The sequence below is a fragment of the Homo sapiens genome, chromosome X, assembly GCF_000001405.40.
Source record: "Homo sapiens chromosome X, GRCh38.p14 Primary Assembly".
Lineage (NCBI taxonomy): Eukaryota > Metazoa > Chordata > Mammalia > Primates > Hominidae > Homo > Homo sapiens.
The window spans coordinates 74,774,353-74,794,598 of NC_000023.11; the positions used below are offsets into that span (position 1 = coordinate 74,774,353).

The 20,246-nt window shown below is 40.5% G+C and overlaps 1 protein-coding gene across 1 annotated transcript in view, besides 1 other annotated feature; it reads right to left on the reverse strand.

Annotated features, from left to right (window-relative positions):
- The window catches only part of NEXMIF (neurite extension and migration factor), a 192,597-nt gene that overhangs the window by 41,497 nt on the left and 130,854 nt on the right, over positions 1-20,246 (reverse strand). The window lies entirely within an intron of this gene.
- Positions 5,130-5,209: an enhancer, noted in NCBI's record as "active region_29768". NCBI's record gives its function as "activates an Ori minimal core promoter by ATAC-STARR-seq in GM12878 lymphoblastoid cells {active_cell/tissue: GM12878}" and the evidence as "EXISTENCE:reporter gene assay evidence [ECO:0000049][PMID:35858748]".

A 20,246-nucleotide genomic window follows, 5' to 3' on the forward strand; every position in this document is an offset into this window, starting at 1 on the left:
AAATAAAGATGAAGATCCCTGTCATTTCTACTTAACAGGGCTGTTGGGGGCTCAGATGAGAGAAATAATGAATGTAAGAGTGCTTAATGTCATCAGCTACTTTGAAAGAAATCAGACCTTTGGAGCCTAGAAGAGTTATAGTCAGTTTTAAATAAATATTCTGTGGATCATGCATTCTGTTGTCACTTATGATACATCGTCATATCAACTCAAAACATTCTTTGTGAAGAAATAAGATGACAGCTCACCTTAAAATGTGCTCTGTAGCTCTTTGATACTTTAGGTAAGTACTTTTAAAAATTAGTTGAGAATAAGATGAATGTGATGATATTGCTGACTATATTACATAGCCTCTTTCCTCTGAACTCTAAGGATCACTAGGGTCCAAAGGAAACAGCTTCATTTAAAGGCCAAGATACCACCAGTAAGAAGGCAGGAATAGTGAGTAAGATGATGAGTCAAAGGATAGAGAGGTGCAGCAAAATATCTCCTAACATCTGCCATTATGGGGTGAGGAATGAAGAAAACTGCACACTCACATTTTGATCTTTTCCCAGTGCCAGTGACAGCTTAATTACCACTCATTATATACTAAGATAAAAATATCATTATGTGCCTAGATCAAATGAGTCCACTATTAGGCCACCTATGGACTAAGCAGTGTCATTCTGGCCCCTGTTAAAATATTTTTTTGGGGGGAGAAAGGAGACTGTTATCCTGACCCACGTTGTTTTTTCCCCCACATCAGCTAATGGATAAGCAGACCCAAGTTGTTTTTATTCCTTGCTTCCTGCCTTATTCCTTTCTAGCTCCTTTTCATTTTTTGCTCCAATCATTTTCCAATTTTCTTGTCTCAACCAGTTCTGTACTGTCATTTACCTCTTCTCACAAAATGTTCCAGCATATTTACAACAATTCTGAAATAATTGCACCACACTCAGATATGGCATTCTCATCTCCACCTATTCCATAATATGTCCAAATTGATGTTTTTGCCAGGATACTGGGCCTTGAAAAGGTGAAGGCCAGTATTATTATAAAGACAGAGCCGTAAATATGATCAAGTAATTAAAGATCCAGAACCCCTATGGAGACTATCTAATAAAGGGCATCTTGCCATTTGCAAAAACATCACAGAATCAGTTTAGAGCCTGCTATTTTGTTGATGCCTTGAACACTACCAAGATTGCTCTACCAGAGAGGCAGTCTTAGGTTCTTGGAATATGAAGAACTGAGATTAAGGAGCTGGAGATTTCCAGCCAATGGGTATGAAGGGCTGAATATTTTTTAGGTGGGTTAACATGACAAAGTTTGCTGCTACTTCTTACCCCTAATCTCACCCAAGTGGACTAGGGTTCAATCCTGTTGCCTCAGAGCGACAGCTCTACCTACTGACACTAAAATCTGTGCAGTCACCCAAATTGTTGTCACCGAGAAGCCATAGAAAGATAAGGCAATATTGTGACTTGATTCCATTTTGATGGAGAGGTCACAGTAGGCTCATTGCTAAATTACTGTGAAGAATAGTGTGTCACCTTAGAGCCAATGATCTCCAAACATTTAATTGCAGCAAGTGATTTATTTGGTATTTTCTGTATGATTTATTTATACTGAAAACACATTTTATGTATTTACTTATTCATTTAACCATAAAAGTGATAAAGGACAAGGGGACAAGATATATAGAATTTTACCTGGAAAAGGCATCATGGCCTTTGTACTCCCTTTAGATAAAATTCTGGCCCTGTTGAACAAAGAAGGAAACCCATCCAAGTAGAAGGGGAATTTCTCCCAAAATGTGAGCATGTCATCATTTCTCCATGTACCTTAAGTAAATGAAGAATGTTTGTGTGTCTGATATGCATGAACAGGCGGCACAGACAGTGTTTGCAGGTGAATGGCAATAAACAGCTCTCATTATCAATGCCTCCCATATGGTATCTTTCATTCCTTCTTGAGCGTTTCCAAGTGAAGCTACACCATAATCAAGGTCCATGGGGAAATATAGGGATGAAGATGAATGAGTTAAACTGGAGTCACATCACCCTTAGGAGTGGGATCACTTTATTCCTAGAAAAGTAGGATTATCTTGGCCGGGCGCGGTGGCTCACGCCTGTAATCCCAGCACGTTGGGAGGCCGAGGTGGGTAGATCACCTGAGGTCAGGAGTTCAAGACCAGCTTGGCCAACATGGTGAAACCCCGTCTCTACTAAAAATACAAAAAATAACCTGGGCGTGGTGGCGGGCACCTGTAATCTCAGCTACTTGGGAGGCTGAGGCAGAAGAATTGCTTGAACCTGGGAGGTGGAGGTTGCAGTGAGCTGAGATCGCACCACTGCACTCCAGCCTGGGCAACAAGAGCGAAACTCAGTCTCAAAAAAAAAAAAAAAAAACAAACAAAAAAAGGAAGTAGGATTATCTTATATAACAATGAATGAGTCGACTTTTCAAGATTAAAAATATGGCATTTCCCCAGGACCAGTTATACGTTAGACTTACTAGTTACTGACCATTTCTCCAACATAACCTTAGCCCAGTTGTATGCAGTCAAGTAAACTGAAACCCAGGCTGCTATTTTAGCAGCTGCTGATGGGGCTGGGTTAAATTCTACACATTAGCGACTACTTAAACAACAAGCTGGGGGAAATGTTTGCTGCTTTTAGATGAGTGCAAGTTTAAGTTCCAACACTAAGTTGACCTATCCCCTCTAATGATAAGGATATTAACATCTATCAATTACCTGCTGTGTGCTAGAAACTTTATGTTGATATACATTTAACCCTTACAAAAACCCTGTGAAGTAGGTAGGAATTAGCATTACTATATTATAAATGAGAAGCTCTAAAGCTTCTCAGAGAGTTTAAGTAACTTGCTCAGAGTCACACAGCTTTACCATCATTATAGGCCAATATGCTCAGGTCAGAATAGACATTTTTGACCCTGTTTAAATTTTTAAAATTGATATATCATAGTTGTACATACTTTTGGGGTACACGTGATAATTTGATACATGTATACAATGTGTAATGATCAAGTCAGGGTAATTGAGATATCCATCACCTCCAACATTCATCTTTTCTTTGTGTTGGGAACATTACAATTTTTCTCTTCTAGATATTTAAAAATATACAATAAATTACTGTTAAATATAATTTCCCTACTGTACTATCGAATCACATATAGGCAGTTTAAGGAGGGAAGAGATGCATGTGTGTGTCAAAGTGAACAGCAGTTTCCTGAGTAACTATAAGAATACATTGCTACTTCAATATTTTTCTCGTTTTCCATGTAATTTCCCCTTAGTTTACAGTCTTTTTGTGCTGGTGTTTTGCTCAGTTTGTCTTTTGTACTGTTAAAATATGCCCCAACAGACAGATAAAATGGACTCCCTGTGGCTAAAATGAGACACACCAAAAACAGAATCTCATGGCCAGCAGGATTGGGGCTTAGTTAAGTATTTCTGTGTTATTAACTGCCATAAGCTTTTTCCCCTGTAATTAAGCAGAAACCAGCTCCCAAAAAGCATTACTGAAACAACTACAGCTGGAAAATTTCCCAGTTGACCGAGATAGACTGCCTGATGCCAACCTATTGAATCCACTGACCTCCACTCTCTATCCCAAGCCCCTGCCTTGCAGTCCCACCACAGCTCTGATTGGACAGAGGACCTGTCTTATGAACATTTTTTACTGATAAATGGCTGCAGACCTTGAGCCAGTTTCAACCAACTTATAAAGACTGTGCATGAACTTTGTGTCCTGTAGTTCACCTTTAGATGTAAAGAGCCAAATTCCACCTCATTTTAATACTAAAACCTCACCCCAAAGTGAACATGAAATGCATGCTACATACATGTTTACCCACTGTGCATGGTGCCTGATTCCTCTTATAAATATTCATAGATTTTTCCCAACCTAACTCAATTATGTATGGATGGCTGACCCCAGCTCCTTGCCCCTTCTGTGGGGCTTGTACTGAAGCTGCACTCCCGGATCTACAGATTGTATCTCCTCTGAAAATAAAGTCTCCTTTCCTTCCTCCATGGATCTCATCTCCCTTTCTCCCTTCCTCCCTTCCTTCCTTCTTTTCTTTTTTCTTTCATCTCGCTCTCTCGCCCAGGCTGGAGTGCAGTGGTGCAATTACCTGCTGTGTGCTAGAAACTTTATGTTGATATACATTTAACCCTTACAAAAACCCTGTGAAGCAGGTAGGAATTAGCATTACTATATTATAAATGAGAAGCTCTAAAGCTTCTCAGAGAGTTTAAGTAACTTTCTCAGAGTGACACAGCTTTACCATCATTATAGGCCAATATGTTCAGGTCACAATAGACATTTTTGTCTCACTTTTACCTTACATTACATTTTGTCTCACTGCAACCTCTGCCTCCCGGGTTCAAGTGATTCTCCTGCCTCAACCTCCAGAGTAGCTGGGATTACAGGTGCATGCCACCACATCCAGCTGGGGTTTCACCATGTTGGCCAGGCTGGTTTTGAACCCCTGACCTTAAATGATCCGCCCACCTCAGCCTCCCAAAGTGCTGGGATTACAGGCATGAGCCACTGTGCCCGGCTGATCTCATCATCTTTTAACAGTACTTCCTCAATTTCTTTTCAGAGACAACAAAGGCTTTCATTTTAACCCAGTCACATTAACACAAATGCTGGGTCCTCCAGCTCTGAGAAAGCCTGGAGAAGATTCTTGCACATTCTTGCTGCTGCAAATAGGTCAAGTTCAGACGCCATTCACCAATTCATCTCTGGGAACTTATATCTTAAGCCTATAAGCTAACCATTTAAAGTTAAAAATTTGTTTCCAACAAATAGATATGTTTTTCACTAAAATCACCTATGATGCCAGAGTTCTGACTGATTGAGTAAGACGTAATCTGACCTTCTAAGCCCCAGTGTTCTTATTGTTCTCTTTTCTTTGGCCATATCTTGTTTTCAATCATCCTCTTCCATGACTACGACCACATCTTACAATGGAAGCTAACAAATGGGTTTCTGGTAGTAGGTGTCTGTCTCTGTTCTAATTCACCCTGCATGCTGCTTTTTAACACACTACTTTTTCAGCAGTCTCCTGGCTCAAGAACTCACAATGAGTCACCACTGCTTACTATATACAGTCAAGTCTCCTTTGCCAGGCCTTCAGGGACATCTATAATCTGGCTCTATCATACCTCAGCAGTCTTACGTGGCACCATGCACAACACCTGACATGTTCTTTCCAACTCAGAGGCTCCTGCCCTTACTTTCCCAACATAGGCAAGATCTCCCTGCCTTCTTCCTCTGTCTTTCTTAAGCTGAAAGGCCCAGCCCACCTTGACCTCTACTTTTCTGAATGCCTTTTGCTCCACACTATTTGACACCTGATGCTATTTTGTCTTAGATTGTTTCATTTCTTCTAACAAAAGACTTAATTTTTCTGTTTTGTAGACCCAACCAGAATATGAGCTCCTGGAAAGCAGGCTTTTAGGATTTTACATCTACCACCATACCCTGCCCCTAAACACATAGCTGGGCTGCAATAAGGGATCACTAGATCCTTGCTGCTTGATTCCCTCAAAAATATTTCATTTGGTGAATCTGGGACACAGATTTATATAGTTTATACTTGGAAATGGCTGGGGGAATGTAGGTTCAATTATCATTTAAGTTTGTTACATTTTACTAATTGCCTTTATATACTTCCTCCGCCAAAGCCAGTCTGCTGTAATTATTCCTGGGCATTCGTTTGGGAACTTCACCAAAATACCAAAGGAAAATAAAATCTAACCACATTCAAGTGATGTAATTGCTACTGGTCTTTGTATCAAACACAGATAAAGGTTAGGTTTTTGTCTTTCCTAATGTTAACTTTAATCAGTGTTCAGATGAACTGAACCTAAGCAAATGTGGGTCTATAAATAGGCCTGGAACTCTATATACCACATGATCTAGTTGGAGGCATGGTTCATGGATGTAATAAAAATTGTGTGCCTTTTGACATTTGTTGACTAATCTGATAAAACCATCTTACTGTTTTTTTTTTTTTTTCTTAGAGATGGGGTCTGGCTCTGTCACCCAGGCTGGAGTGCAGTGGCATGAATATGGCTCACTGGGCTTTACCTCCTGGGCTCAAGCAATCCTCCTGCCTCAGTCCCTCCCGGGACTACAGGCGTGTGCCACCATGCCTGGCTAATTTTTTTTTTTTTGTATTTTCTCTAGAGATGGGGTTTCGCTATGTTGCCCAGACTGGTCTCTAACTCCTGAGCTCAGGCAATCGGCCCGCTGTGGCCTCCCAAAGTGCTGTGATTACAGGCATGAGCCACTGCGCCTAGCCCCATCTTAAAATTTTCACAGCACCTTATAGGCTATAAAATATTTCATATCTGTTATTTTATTTGATCTGTACAACAAAGCTATGAAGCATGTATTATCTCTTCTAGGGAAGATGAAACAAACTCAGTCAGAGAAGTTAAGAAACCTACCAAAGCCTCAAGGCTAGGAAGTGGTAGAAACAAGACATGAATCCAAGGTGCAGAGAAGTTGGGCAGGGAAGGGAGAGTACAGCACAGTGGGGGCCCTGGGGACTCACCTGAACATGAGCTGTGTGATAGGTACTGTCAGATGAGACAAATATGAGTGATTATCCTTACCCTAAAGGTACATAAATGTGTGAGAATATAGAAAGCCTGGGCAACTGTTAAGTCCAAAATGAGGTCTTCAGACCTATGGTCCTTCCATTATTCCACACTGCCTCCCACAGTTCTGTTGCTAGGGCCCAGCTCCCACTTACCACATTCTAGCTCTTCTCCTTTTAGCTTTCAGAGGCCAGCTTTTGGCATCGTTACAAAGTAGACTTTGATAAAGTTTCACTGCTCTCCGGAGAAATAGTAAGAGAATGTTAGCTGGAAATGAATATTGAGAGAGGTTGCTACGATCTCCTTTAGAGAGAACTGAATCAGGTTAGTGGCATAAATCGATGAGGGCAGGAGTTTTGTATTTTTGTCTATTGCCAAATGTGCAGTTGGTATGGAACAACAAACCATAACGTTTGAAAAAGAGAGATCAGAGGAAGAGTGGAGGGAGAGGTGAAGGAGGAGAAGAGGGAGAAAGAACAAGAGGGAAGCCTTAGGTTTCCTTAGGTGTATGTGAAGCCTTAGGTGTATGTGAAAGCCTTAGGTGTATGTGAAATTTATACTAAGATTTTCCCTCTTACCAGGGTGTGGTGTAGCTCAGTTTCGTGGAGGCCAGTGGTTTATGTGTATGTGAAATGTATGTGAAAGCCTTAGGTGTATGTGAAATGTATACTAAGATTTTCCCTCTTACCAGGGTGTGGTGTAGTTCAGTTTAGTGGAGGCCAGTGATTTATGTGTATGTGAAAGCCTTAGGTGTATGTGAAATTTATACTAAGATTTTCCCTCTTACCAGGATGTGGTGTAGCTCAGTTTAGTGGAGGCCAGTGGTTTATGTGTATGTGAAATGTATGTGAAAGCCTTAGGTGTATGTGAAATTTATACTAAGATTTTCCCTTTTACCAGGGTGTGGTGTAGCTCAGTTTAGTTGAGGCCAGTGGTTTTTCAATATTTGATATTCTGGAGGACAAGACAGGAACTGACTGACTGAATGACTGACTGAAAATTTGTTAAGTCCTCACAATATAGGGAACTAACCAGATGACACAGACATCTGAAGGGCTGGATGGTAGGCAAGAACTTGAGAGACCTGAACAAAACAGTAGCTGAATGACAGTGTTTCCCAGAGGATAAACCCAGAGATTTAAAAGGATGAGGGGTTGGTGGTTTAAGGACTCATACTCTCTCTCAGGAGCTACATTTACTTTAAACTTCTCTGAGTTAGAGTGCCAGAGAGACCTCTGGAGTTGGCAGCTTCTTCTAGGCCAGGCAAAATCCTTATTACCATGAAAAAGAGTTCTGAAATGCTTTCAAACTTGTAAGAGAGTTCCCTTTGAGCTCAGGTTTGGAAATTTGGCAACTAACATTAAATGCTAGTGAGCAAGTTAGAATATCTTAATAAAATATACTTCACATTCAGAGTTGACCAAATCAAGAGGCAGGAGGTTCAGGGTCTTAGGTCCCTGCCATGATTTCAAACTTCCAAAAGAGCCAGTAGACCAGAAAGCCCTAAGTCCTCCCTACTACAGACCCTTCCTTCATATAAGGCCTTCTGTATGGGGCCCTTACTTCCTGCTACAACACATTCCAACATTTCTGTATGGTTTTCAAGACTTGCCCCAAACAATTCTTGCTGCCCTGGTTCTTAGGCTTGGCCTCATTACTCTACAGACCATGTTCTTCCTCCCACCCTCTTTATGTGCTTTCACTGCTAATTCTGGAATACCCTTCGCTCTGCATTTCACTTAGTAACATTATACTCATTTGTCAAGGTCTACCTCCTCCTTAAAGCCTTTCCTGATTATTAGAGACTTAGCTAATTTCCTTCCTTCTGAAGAGTAAATGCTATCTGGCCTGGGTAAGGGAGGCAGTGTGGTGGAGAATTTAAGATAGCAGTACAGGACTAGAAGAAGATTCAAGTTCTAGGCCTTCCAGTAATTAGAGTAAATGAGAGGCAGTTATCTAAGCTTCAAGCATTTGTTTGTTTTCTATTCTATTTCATCTTTATTATTCATTGCTTGCCTGCTATATGTAAGTTGTTGATGAATCCTATCTAGATCTTGCCATTGAGGATCTTAGAGTCTAATAAATGATATATATATAAATAATTAGAATAAAAATAGGAAAAATGGTTAAAAACCACGAGAGCATCATGGAAAGTTCCTTAAGAGGTCAGAGGAAGTTAAAATTAATCTCTCTGTAGAAAATAGCATCTGAGCTTGGCCTCGGAGCATGAATGAAAATATGTAAGAATAAAATAATAAATAAGAAAGTGTTAGAAAAGTATAGAATGTGATACAAATGCAAGGGCTAGTATTTTAAATGGGGTGAAATGTAGGAGCTGTTTTAAGAAAAGATAAGGTAGGGAAAGGAGTGATTCCATCCCTCAATTCTAGGCAAAACCTGCCAAATACTTTATTTCAAAAGAAGCAATGAGTTCCCTTGATGGCAGGGCCACCATTTAATCTCTGTCATTTTCTGCTAGCACATTAAAGAGCCTACATTACATTGTATATGAAGTTTTTAGGGCCACCTGGAGCAGAGGGCTCAGAAAAAGTCTCAGATAGGGCTCAATAAAGTCTGGCAGCAGAGGGTCAATTTGAGGAGAACCATTGACATGGCTCCAACGTAAAGGGTAAAAGAACATACCAGGTAGACAAATGAGCCAGCTCTAGCTTACATGCAGAATAAAGGCAGCTGCCTTAGGCCCCATTCATGAGTTTGGGGAGAGCTACAGCAGCTCTGGGGGTATAAAGCAGACAAAGAGGCTTACAGCAGCTAAAATGCTATTAACAAATACTCCATTACCAAAGTTCCATCAGGAGGTTTATTGTCCATCTGTAAGATATGCCCACTTTCTCAAGCTGTTCTCCAGTCTACTTGGTGCCATTACCACCTGAGTTCAGGCAGTACAGGCTACCCTTGGCAAATGCTTTCAGTAGTTTTAGGTATGAGTATGTGCACTTCCTCAGGATGTTCCCCTCCACATCCTAGCATACAATGCCTGAGCTTCCTTTCTATAGTCATTTCCGTCATCCTTAGAGGGCAAATTTTTATAAAATGATTGGGCTAGGCTGGGCATCTAGTGCAGTATTTAGCTCAAAATCGTATTTCAATAGTATTTAGGTTCACATAAATTCACTTCAATTCAATTCAGACTAAAATTCACTGTTGGTATTAGTTACCACGATTATAGTATAATTAACCATAGTCTTTCATTGGGACTTGCTCAGGGTTTTCTAGGAAGCACCTGCCTATGCCTTCTGCAAAGGCTCAATTCTGCACTTTCCTTAAGAGGATCACATCCTTGCCAAAACTCCACAGTGCGTAGTGAAACAATTTGGCTTATGCAAAAATCCCAAGAAATATATAGCTATGATAAGAAAGTACAATGTGAAACTGATGAGGGACAGAATGGTAGTGGTGACGAAATTATCTCTAATCATAGAGAAAAATAAAATCCTCAGTGGGATTGTTTACAGCTTCCCCATTCATTGCCCTGGAGAGTTGTCTTAGATACTTCCATTCTTACTGCACTTAATCACACCCCAGAATAGCTCTAGCTCTCTTTACTCATATGTATAATAATCCCTCACATTTAATGTACTGCTTTATACTGTGTGTATGTATATGCAATATTTTATATATATATATATATACACACATACAATAATTTAATACCTATCTGTGAAAGAAAGAGTTAACCCAGCAGTCTTGAGTTGCTCAAATCGTATACATTTTTAGAAGGGCCCACTTGTGTGACTGGTCCTTGGCCAGCTCCTGGGAACTGAGGTCTTAGAATGTTCTCTATTCTAGTAACTGGTAAGGGCATTGTGTATGCCCTTTCAACCATGCTGTAACAGCCTGTCTAGGTATCTTGTGCAAAAAATATGATTTATGGTGAATGCATGCTTTCTTTCCAAGGGATATGGAGTTTCAGTCACTAGTTACCCCAATAAAAATCCTGGAGTTTCAGGCTCAAGTACGCTTCCCCGGCAGAAAACACTTTGCATATGTTTCTGAACTTCATTGTTGGAGGATTAAGCACAACCTGTGTGACTCTATTGGGAGAAGACTCTTGGAAGCTTGCACCTGGTATCCTCCGGTCTCTGACTGATGTACGTTTTCCCATTATTGATTCTGCTTTCTGTCCTTTTGATATAATAAACTGTAGCCTGATTGTAACAATTTATGAGTCCTGTGAGTCCTTCTAGCAAATCAGTGAACCTGGGGATAGTATTGGGGGCCACCAGTACATTGCTTTACAATGTCATTATGAGGATTACCACCTCCATTTTACATATAAAGAAACTGAGATCAAATGGCTTGAGCTGGAAGTAGAATTCAGTTCTTTCCAAATCCCATGTTCTTTCTACTATACTGAACTGCTCCCTATATAATCTTTTTTTGTGGTTAAGGGGTAGATAAAATGGTATCAGAGGTACCTTTTAGCTCTGACAGACATTAACTGTTTATGTCTAAAGTCCATATGAAAAAAAGGAGGATGTAAAACTAAAAAAAAAATTTTTTTTCAAGTTATCTCCACTCATTCCCCCTTTGCATAGTTCACTTCTATCTTAGGGTGTCAAGGGCTCTACTGAAACTCTACAAGAATGCATAGGCAAGGAAAATTACACTTTAAAGAATGATTAGTTCTATTATGCATGCCTTCCCCCAGGCATTCTGCTTAGTCTCTGACAAATAAAAACTGTACACATGGATTTGAGAAAGATCCTGGTTGGGTTTGTTCAGTGGCATTATTAGGGTAAAGATGAAAGGCAAAGTTTATAGCCTTGTCTGACCTGGCCTTGCCAACATAACCTTGCTGTGCTCCAAACGCCTAAAGGGCTGGCTTTGTCACTCAACACTCTGCATTCATCTGTGTAGTCTGTCTGACTAAGCCATATGTCCTGAGAATGGTGGAGGAAGAGACTGTGCTTAGATAAGGTAATAGACAAAACTTATGAAATAAATCTGCTTTCATGAAATTTGGTGTTTATGAAATATATGTTTTATATTTTATAGAGAACACTAAAGCAAATGAATGAGTTAGTCTACAGCCTTGCTTTTATCCCCAACACTAAAATCTCATTCGGTGGGTTTTAAGGCCCTGGGATGAGCTATTTTTTGTCATGGTGGGCCAGATTTTCCACTGAGCGAGGGAAATGGGCAGGCACCTGCCAGTGTAGCAATCAATCTTATCCTTGGCAATGGCTTCCTAGAGGGTTTTTCTGCTCAGGGTTTGGAATCAGCAAGTCCAGTTGTACTATAATGTGTGGGAGTTTTCATAGATTTATATCACACAGAAAAGAAGACTGATTGTCTATGCAGAGAATGTTGGGTTGGTTGTACAGTGTAGTGTGGAGGGTGGGTATACAAGTTGTCTTTTCAAGAGCTGGAAAAAACCCTTGATAAAGTGCTTAAAAAAGAGATAAACACACCAAGATTGGTTTTTATCATACATGGAAGGGAATATCTAAAGAGAAAGGAAGAAGAGGCAGATCAATTACCTACAGAGATACTTTCTGGCACAGACTAGCACACAGCATATCACATTAATAAAACTGAGCTCTGCAAGAAAAAAGGTAGACCATTCTCCCTCATTAAAAAGTTCCAGTTTTAAGCAACTATTACTATTCTGAATCCAGCACATTCCCCCACACACAATCACCACACACCTAGCCAAATGAGCACATGACATTCCTAAACTAAGGACACTCTTTAACCTAGCCTCCACTTACAAACTCAAAAAGGCACATATTGACTAAATGATTCTGACAGGAGAAGGGGAAAATATGTAGAATTTAGAGGCCAAAGAGAAGTAGATAACTGAAAACAAGGTTGTACACACACACACACACACACACGTGAGCACATGTGCATGTGCGTGTGTGCACACACACACACACACCCCTATCACTAGTCCCTCCCATGCCCTAAATTACATCAACTGTTTTCAGTTAGGCTAAGCCCCTTCCACTGGAGAAAAATAAAGATTGAAGCTATGGGCCGGGCACAGTGGCTCACGCCTGTAATCCCAGCATTTTGGGAGGCTGAGGCGGGCAGATCACGAGGTCAGGAGATCGAGACCATCCTGGCTAACATGGTGAAACCCTGTCTCTACCAAAAATACAAAAAAAAAAAAAAAAAAAAGAAAAAAAATTAGCCAGGCGTGGTGGTGGGTGCCTGTAGTCCCAGCTACTCGGGAGGCTGAGGCAGGAGAATGGCGTGAACCCAGGAGGCGGAGGTTGTGGTGAGCCAAGATCACGCCACTGTACTCCAGTCTGGGCGACAGAGCGAGATTCCATCTCAAAAGAAAAAAGAAAAAAAAAAAAGATTGAAGCTATGGGAATGACAGTGTCCCTTCTCTACTTGATCAATACCTTCTTTGGCTACTGTTAAGATGCACTCTCCGTGACCAGTAATAATAAAGCAAGACCTACATAGCTAATTAGTTGTTACTTTTTGGTCTGGGTTTCAGTTTCCCCAATTGTAAAATGAAGGGTAGAAACTGGACCTCCCACCTCAGGTCATATCCTATGATTCCCTGACTCTATTACAAACCATTGCATGTGTCACATGACAGATGCCAAGGATGCCTTCAAGCCTTACTTCTTACATACAGGCCCACACATACACATGGGGCCTTTCTTTTTGACTCTGACAGGCAGGGGAGCCCAGAGGGTTGAGACTTTCTAAATGCAGATAAATAAGCTGAAAAGATTACAATGAGTAGATTCTGTTTTCCCCAGCTTACCTCTTTGGGCGAGAGAGCTGTGCTGAGATGCAAGGGCAAGGTTGAAAAAAACCTGACAACAGTTATGGTGACAATGTTTTGATGATTATTGGTTTCTGCACTGCTGGGAAGAGAGAGTACACTCCTCAAACCTTGAAAGTACACTCCTCAAACCTTCCTTTAAGCTTTGAACCAGAGCAACTGCAGATGATTTCTAGGGTAAAGGTAAAGCCACCTCTATAACTGAGGTTTGCTGTCCCCTGGTACATACCAAAGGATCTGGATCCAGAGCACCAGAGTCAATCATGAGTACCAGTTGGAACCCAAAATAGTAACATCTACTGAATGTGCCAGTATTTACTTGGTAAATTGAAATAATGTGGATTTTATGAGGGTGAGGAATTACCCTATAAAATCGTTCAATCTGGAATCAAGTATTTTCTGTAACTGCTACACCAAAAATTAAACAAGTAGATAATAATAAATTACCCACCCACTAAGTTCTGAGGAAAATACTGCATCACTTCAGAGACTAAATATCTACCTCTCCTGATCAAGGTAAACAGATTGTATTTTTAAGTCAGATTTATTAATGTATGATGCCACCTAATATCAATAGTATTTCATATTCTATTTGGTTTGATCATTAATAATCATTCATATTTGTATGATGTTAAACTTATAAAGTCCTTCAATATATTTCACATTATGTATCTTAGGTTGATCTCTGACAACAGCCCTGTGAGCATGAATGGGCAGGTATTATCCTTATTTTAAAGATGATGAATATGAGGCCAAGAGAGTTGGGACAATAGATGGCTGGCATTAGAACCCAGGAATCAAGGTTCTATGCTTCCTTTACTTTGCAATGAGGTCAGCAAGGGGCACAAACATGACATGATGTTGCTTACCCCATTTCAGGTCAAAACTCATTATCTAACCTAAAGTTTACCATTACACAAATTTAGCTGTTGGGATACTTGCCAACATGAAACCCAAGCCTAACTTCCTGAAGCAGTATAAAGGTACATGCCAGGAGTCATAAATCAGGTATTTTATTTCCTGAGTGTGGCTAGAATATCCCTTTGCCAAGAAAAGGGAAGGGGGTAGAGTGATATAATTTTCAGTCTCCCACAATCTCCCAGACTTCCAGCTCAGAGTGCCAGCAAGTACCCCGCCATCTAATGGTCATTTGCAGAAACTTCATCTTCCAGGTAGGAGAAGAAGACATCCCATTGATATTCTTTTATTTATTTATTTATTTATTTATTTTTATTTTTTATTATACTTTTAAGTTTTAGGGTACATGTGCACATTGTGCAGGTTAGTTACATATGTATACATATGCCATGCTGGTGCACTGCACCCACTAACTCATCATCTAGCATTAGGTATATCTCCCAATGCTATCCCTCCCCCTCCCCCCACCCCACCACAGTCCCCAGTGTGATATTCCCCTTCCTGTGTCCATGTGTTCTCATTGTTCAATTCCCACCTATGAGTGAGAATATGCGGTGTTTGGTTTTTTGTTCTTGTGATAGTTTACTGAGAATGATGTTTTCCAATTTCATCCATGTCCCTACAAAGGACATGAACTCATCATTTTTTATGGCTGCATAGTATTCCATGGTGTATATGTGCCACATTTTCTTAATCCAGTCTATCATTGTTGGACATTTGGGTTGGTTCCAAGTCTTTGCTATTGTGAATAATGCTGCAATAAACATATGTGTGCATGTGTCTTTATAGCAGCATGATTTATAGTCCTTTGGGTATATATCCAGTAATGGGATGGCTGGGTCAAATGGTATTTCCAGTTCTAGATCCCTGAGGAATTGCCACACTGACTTCCACAATGGTTGAACTAGTTTACAGTCCCACCAACAGTATAAAACTGTTCCTATTTCTCCACATCCTCTCCAGCACCTGTTGTTTCCTGACTTTTTAATGATTGCCATTCTAACTGGTGTGAGATGGTATCTCATTGTGGTTTTGATTTACATTTCTCTGATGGCCAGTGATGATGAGCATTTTTTCATGTGTTTTTTGGCTGCATAAATGTCTTCTTTTGAGAAGTGTCTGTTCATGTCCTTCGCCCACTTTTTGATGGGGTTGTTTGTTTTTTCCTTGTAAATTTGTTTGAGTTCATTGTAGATTCTGGATATTAGCCCTTTGTCAGATGAGTAGGTTGCGAAAATTTTCTCCCATTTTGTGGGTTGCCTGTTCACTCTGATGGTAGTTTCTTTTGCTGTGCAGAAGCTCTTTAGTTGAATTAGATCCCATTTGTCAATTTTGGCTTTTGTTGCCATTGCTTTTGGTGTTTTAGACATGAAGTCCTTGCCCATGCCTGTGTCCTGAATGGTAATGCCTAGGTTTTCTTCTAGGGTTTTTATGGTTTTAGGTCTAACGTTTAACTCTTTAATCCATCTTGAATTGATTTTTGTATAAGGTGTAAGGAAGGGATCCAGTTTCAGCTTTCTACATATGGCTAGTCAGTTTTCCCAGCACCATTTATTAAATAGGGAATCCTTTCCCCATTGCTTGTTTTTCTCAGGTTTGTCAAAGATCAGATAGTTGTAGATATGCGGCGTTATTTCTGAGGGCTCTGTTCTGTTCCATTGATCTATATCTCTGTTTTGGTAACAGTACCATGATGTTTTGGTTACTGTAGCCTTGTAGTACAGTTTGAAGTCAGGTAGTGTGATGCCTCCAGCTTTGTTCTTTTGGCTTAGGATTGACTTGGCGATGCGGGCTCTTTTTTGGTTCCATATGAACTTTAAAGTAGTTTTTTCCAATTCTGTGAAGAAAGTCATTGGTAGCTTGATGGGGATGGCATTGAATCTGTAAATTACCTTGGGCAGTATGGCCATTTTCACAATACTGATTCTTCCTACCCATGAGCATGGAATGTTCTTCCATTTGTTTGTATCCTCTTTTATTTCATTGAGCAGTAGTTTGTAGTTCTCCTTGAAGAGGTCCTTCACATCCCTTGTAAGTTGGATTCCTAGGTATTTTATTCTCTTTGAAGCAATTGCGAATGGGAGTTCACTCCTGATTTGGCTCTCTGTTTGTCTGTTGTTGGTGTATAAGAATGCTTGTGATTTTTGTACATTGATTTTGTATCCTGAGACTTTGCTGAAGTTGCTTATCAGCTTAAGGAGATTTTGGGCTGAGACAATGGGGTTTTCTAGATATACAATCATGTCGTCTGCAAACAGGGACAATTTGAGTTCCTCTTTTCCTAATTGAATACCCTTTATCTCCTTCTCCTGCCTAATTGCCCTGGCCAGAACTTCCAACACTATGTTGAATAGGAGTGGTGAGAGACGGCATCCCTGTCTTGTGCCAGTTTTCAAAGGGAATGCTTCCAGTTTTTGCCCATTCAGTATGATATTGGCTGTGGGTTTGTCATAGATAGCTCTTATTATTTTGAAATACGTCCCATCAATACCTAATTTATTGAGAGTTTTTAGCGTGAATGGTTGTTGAATTTTGTCAAAGGCTTTTTCTGCATCTATTGAGATAATCATGTGGTTTTTGTCTTTGGCTCTGTTTATGTGCTGGATTACATTTATTGATTTGTGTATATTGAACCAGCCTTGCATCCCAGGGATGAAGCCCACTTGATCATGCTGGATAAGCTTTTTGATGTGCTGCTGGATTCGGTTTGCCAGTATTTTATTGAGGATTTTTGCATCAATGTTCATCAAGGATAGTGGTCTAAAATTCTCTTTTTTTGTTGTGTCTCTGCCTGGCTTTGGTATCAGAATGATGCTGGCCTCATAAAATGAGTTAGGGAGGATTCCCTCTTTTTCTATTGATTGGAATAGTTTCAGAAGGAATGGTACCAGCTAATCCTTGTACCTCTGGTAGAATTCGGCTGTGAATCCATCTGGTCCTGGACTCTTTTTGGTTGGTAAGCTATTGATTATTGCCACAATTTCAGATCCTGTTATTGGTCTATTCAGAGATTCAACTTCTTCCTGGTTTAGTCTTGGGAGAGTGTATGTGACGAGGAATTTATCCATTTCTTCTAGATTTTCTAGTTTATTTGCATAGAGGTGTTTTTAGTATTCTCTGATGGTAGTTTGTATTTCTGTGGGATCAGTGGTGATATCCCCTTTATCATTTTTTATTGCGTCTATTAGATTCTTCTTTTTTTCTTTATTAGTCTTGATAGCGGTCTATCAATTTTGTTGATCCTTTCAAAAAACCAGCTCCTGGATTCACTGATTTTTTTGAAGGGTTGTTTGTGTCTCTATTTCCTTCAGTTCTGCTCTGATCTTAGTTATTTCTTGCCTTCTGCTAGCTTTTGAATGTGTTTGCTCTTGCTTTTCTAGTTCTTTTAATTGTGATGTTAGGGTGTCAATTTTGGATCTTTCCTGCTTTCTCTTGTGGGCATTTAGTGCTATAAATTTCCCCCTACACACTGCTTTGAATGCGTCCCAGAGATTCTGGTATGTTGTGTCTTTGTTCTCATTGGTTTCAAAGAACATCTTTATTTCTGCCTTCATTTCGTTATGTACCCAGTAGTCATTCAGGAGCAGGTTGTTCAGTTTCCATGCAGTTGAGCGGTTTTGAGTGAGATTCTTAATCCTGAGTTCTAGTTTGATTGCACTGTGGTCTGAGAGATAGTTTGTTATAATTTCTGTTCTTTTACATTTGCTGAGGAGAGCTTTACTTCCAAGTATGTGGTCAATTTTGGAATAGGTGTGGCGTGGTGCTGAAAAAAATGTATATTCTGTTGATTTGGGGTGGAGAGTTCTGTAGATGTCTATTAGGTCTGCTTGGTGCACAGCTGAGTTCAATTCCTGGGTATCCTTGTTGACTTTCTGTCTCGTTGATCTGTCTAATGTTGACAGTGGGGTGTTAAAGTCTCCCATTATTAATGTGTGGGAGTCTAAGTCTCTTTGTAGGTCACTCAGGACTTGCTTTATGAATCTGGGTGCTCCTGTATTGGGTGCATATATATTTAGGATAGTTAGCTCTTCTTGTTGAATTGATCCCTTTACCATTATGTAATGGCCTTCTTTGTCTCTTTTGATCTTTGTTGGTTTAAAGTCTGTTTTATCAGAGACTAGGATTGCAACCCCTGCCTTTTTTTGTTTTCCATTTGCTTGGTAGATCTTCCTCCATCCTTTTATTTTGAGCCTATGTGTGTCTCTGCACGTGAGATGGGTTTCCTGAATACAGTACACTGATGGGTCTTGACTCTTTATCCAATTTGCCAGTCTGTGTCTTTTAATTGGAGCATTTAGTCCATTTACGTTTAAAGTTAATATTGTTATGTGTGAATTTGATCCTGTCATTATGATGTTAGCTGGTTATTTTGCTCGTTAGTTGATGCAGTTTCTTCCTAGTCTTGATGGTCTTTACATTTTGGCATGATTTTGCAGCGGCTGGTTCCGGTTGTTCCTTTCCATGTTTAGTGCTTCCTTCAGGAGCTCTTTTAGGGCAGGCCTGGTGGTGACAAAATCTCTCAGCATTTGCTTGTCTGTAAAGTATTTAATTTCTCCTTCACTTATGAAGCTTAGTTTGGCTGGATATGAAATTCTGGGTTGAAAATTCTTTTCTTTAAGCATGTTGAATATTGGCCCCCACTCTCTTCTGGCTTGTAGGGTTTCTGCCGAGAGATCCGCTGTTAGTCTGATGGGCTTCCCTTTGAGGGTAACCCGACCTTTCTCTCTGGCTGCCCTTAACATTTTTTCCTTCATTTCAACTTTGGTGAATCTGACAATTATGTGTCTTGGAGTTGCTCTTCTCGAGGAGTATCTCTGGGGTGTTCTCTGTATTTCCTGAATCTGAAGGTTGGACTGCCTTGCTAGATTGGGGAAGTTCTCCTGGAGAATATCCTGCAGAGTGTTTTCCAACTTGGTTCCATTCTCCCCGTCACTTTCAGGTACACCAATCAGACGTAGATTTGGTCTTTTCACATAGTCCCATATTTCTTGGAGGCTTTGCTTATTTCTTTTTATTCTTTTTTCTCTAAACTTCCCTTCTCGCTTCATTTCATTCATTTCATCTTCCATTGCTGATACCCTTTCTTCCAGTTGATCGCATCGGCTCCTGAGGCTTCTGCATTCTTCACGTAGTTCTCGAGCCTTGGTTTTCAGCTCCATCAGCTCCTTTAAGCACTTCTCTGTATTGGTTATTCTAGTTATACATTCTTCTAAATTTTTTTCAAAGTTTTCAACTTCTTTGCCTTTGGTTTGAATGTCCTCCCGTAGCTCAGAGTAATTTGATCGTCTGAAGCCTTCTTCTCTCAGCTCGTCAAAGTCATTCTCCACCCAGCTTTGTTTCGTTGCTGGTGAGGAACTGCGTTCCTTTGGAGGAGGAGAGGCGCTCTGCATTTTAGAGTTTCCAGTTTTTCTGTTCTGTTTTTTCCCCATCTTTGTGGTTTTATCTACTTTTGGTCTTTGATGATGGTGATGTACAGATGGGTTTTTGGTTTGGATGTCCTTTCTGTTTATTAGTTTTCCTTCTAACAGACAGTACCCTCAGCTGCAGGTCTGTTGGAATACCCTGCCGTGTGAGGTGTCAGTCTGCCCCTGCTGGGGGGTGCCTCCCAGTTAGGCTGCTCGGGGGTCAGGGGTCAGGGACCCACTTGAGGAGGCAGTCTGCCCGTTCTCAGATCTCCAGCTGCGTGCTGGGAGAACCACTGCTCTCTTCAAAGCTGTCAGACAGGGACATTTAAGTCTGCAGAGGTTACTGCTGTCTTTTTGTTTGTCTGTGCCCTGCCCCCAGAGGTGGAGCCTACAGAGGCAGGCAGGCCTCCTTGAGCTGTGGTGGGCTCCACCCAGTTCGAGCTTCCCGGCTGCTTTGTTTACCTTATCAAGCCTGGGCAATGGCGAGCGCCCCTCCCCCAGCCTCGCTGCTGCCTTGCAGTTTGAT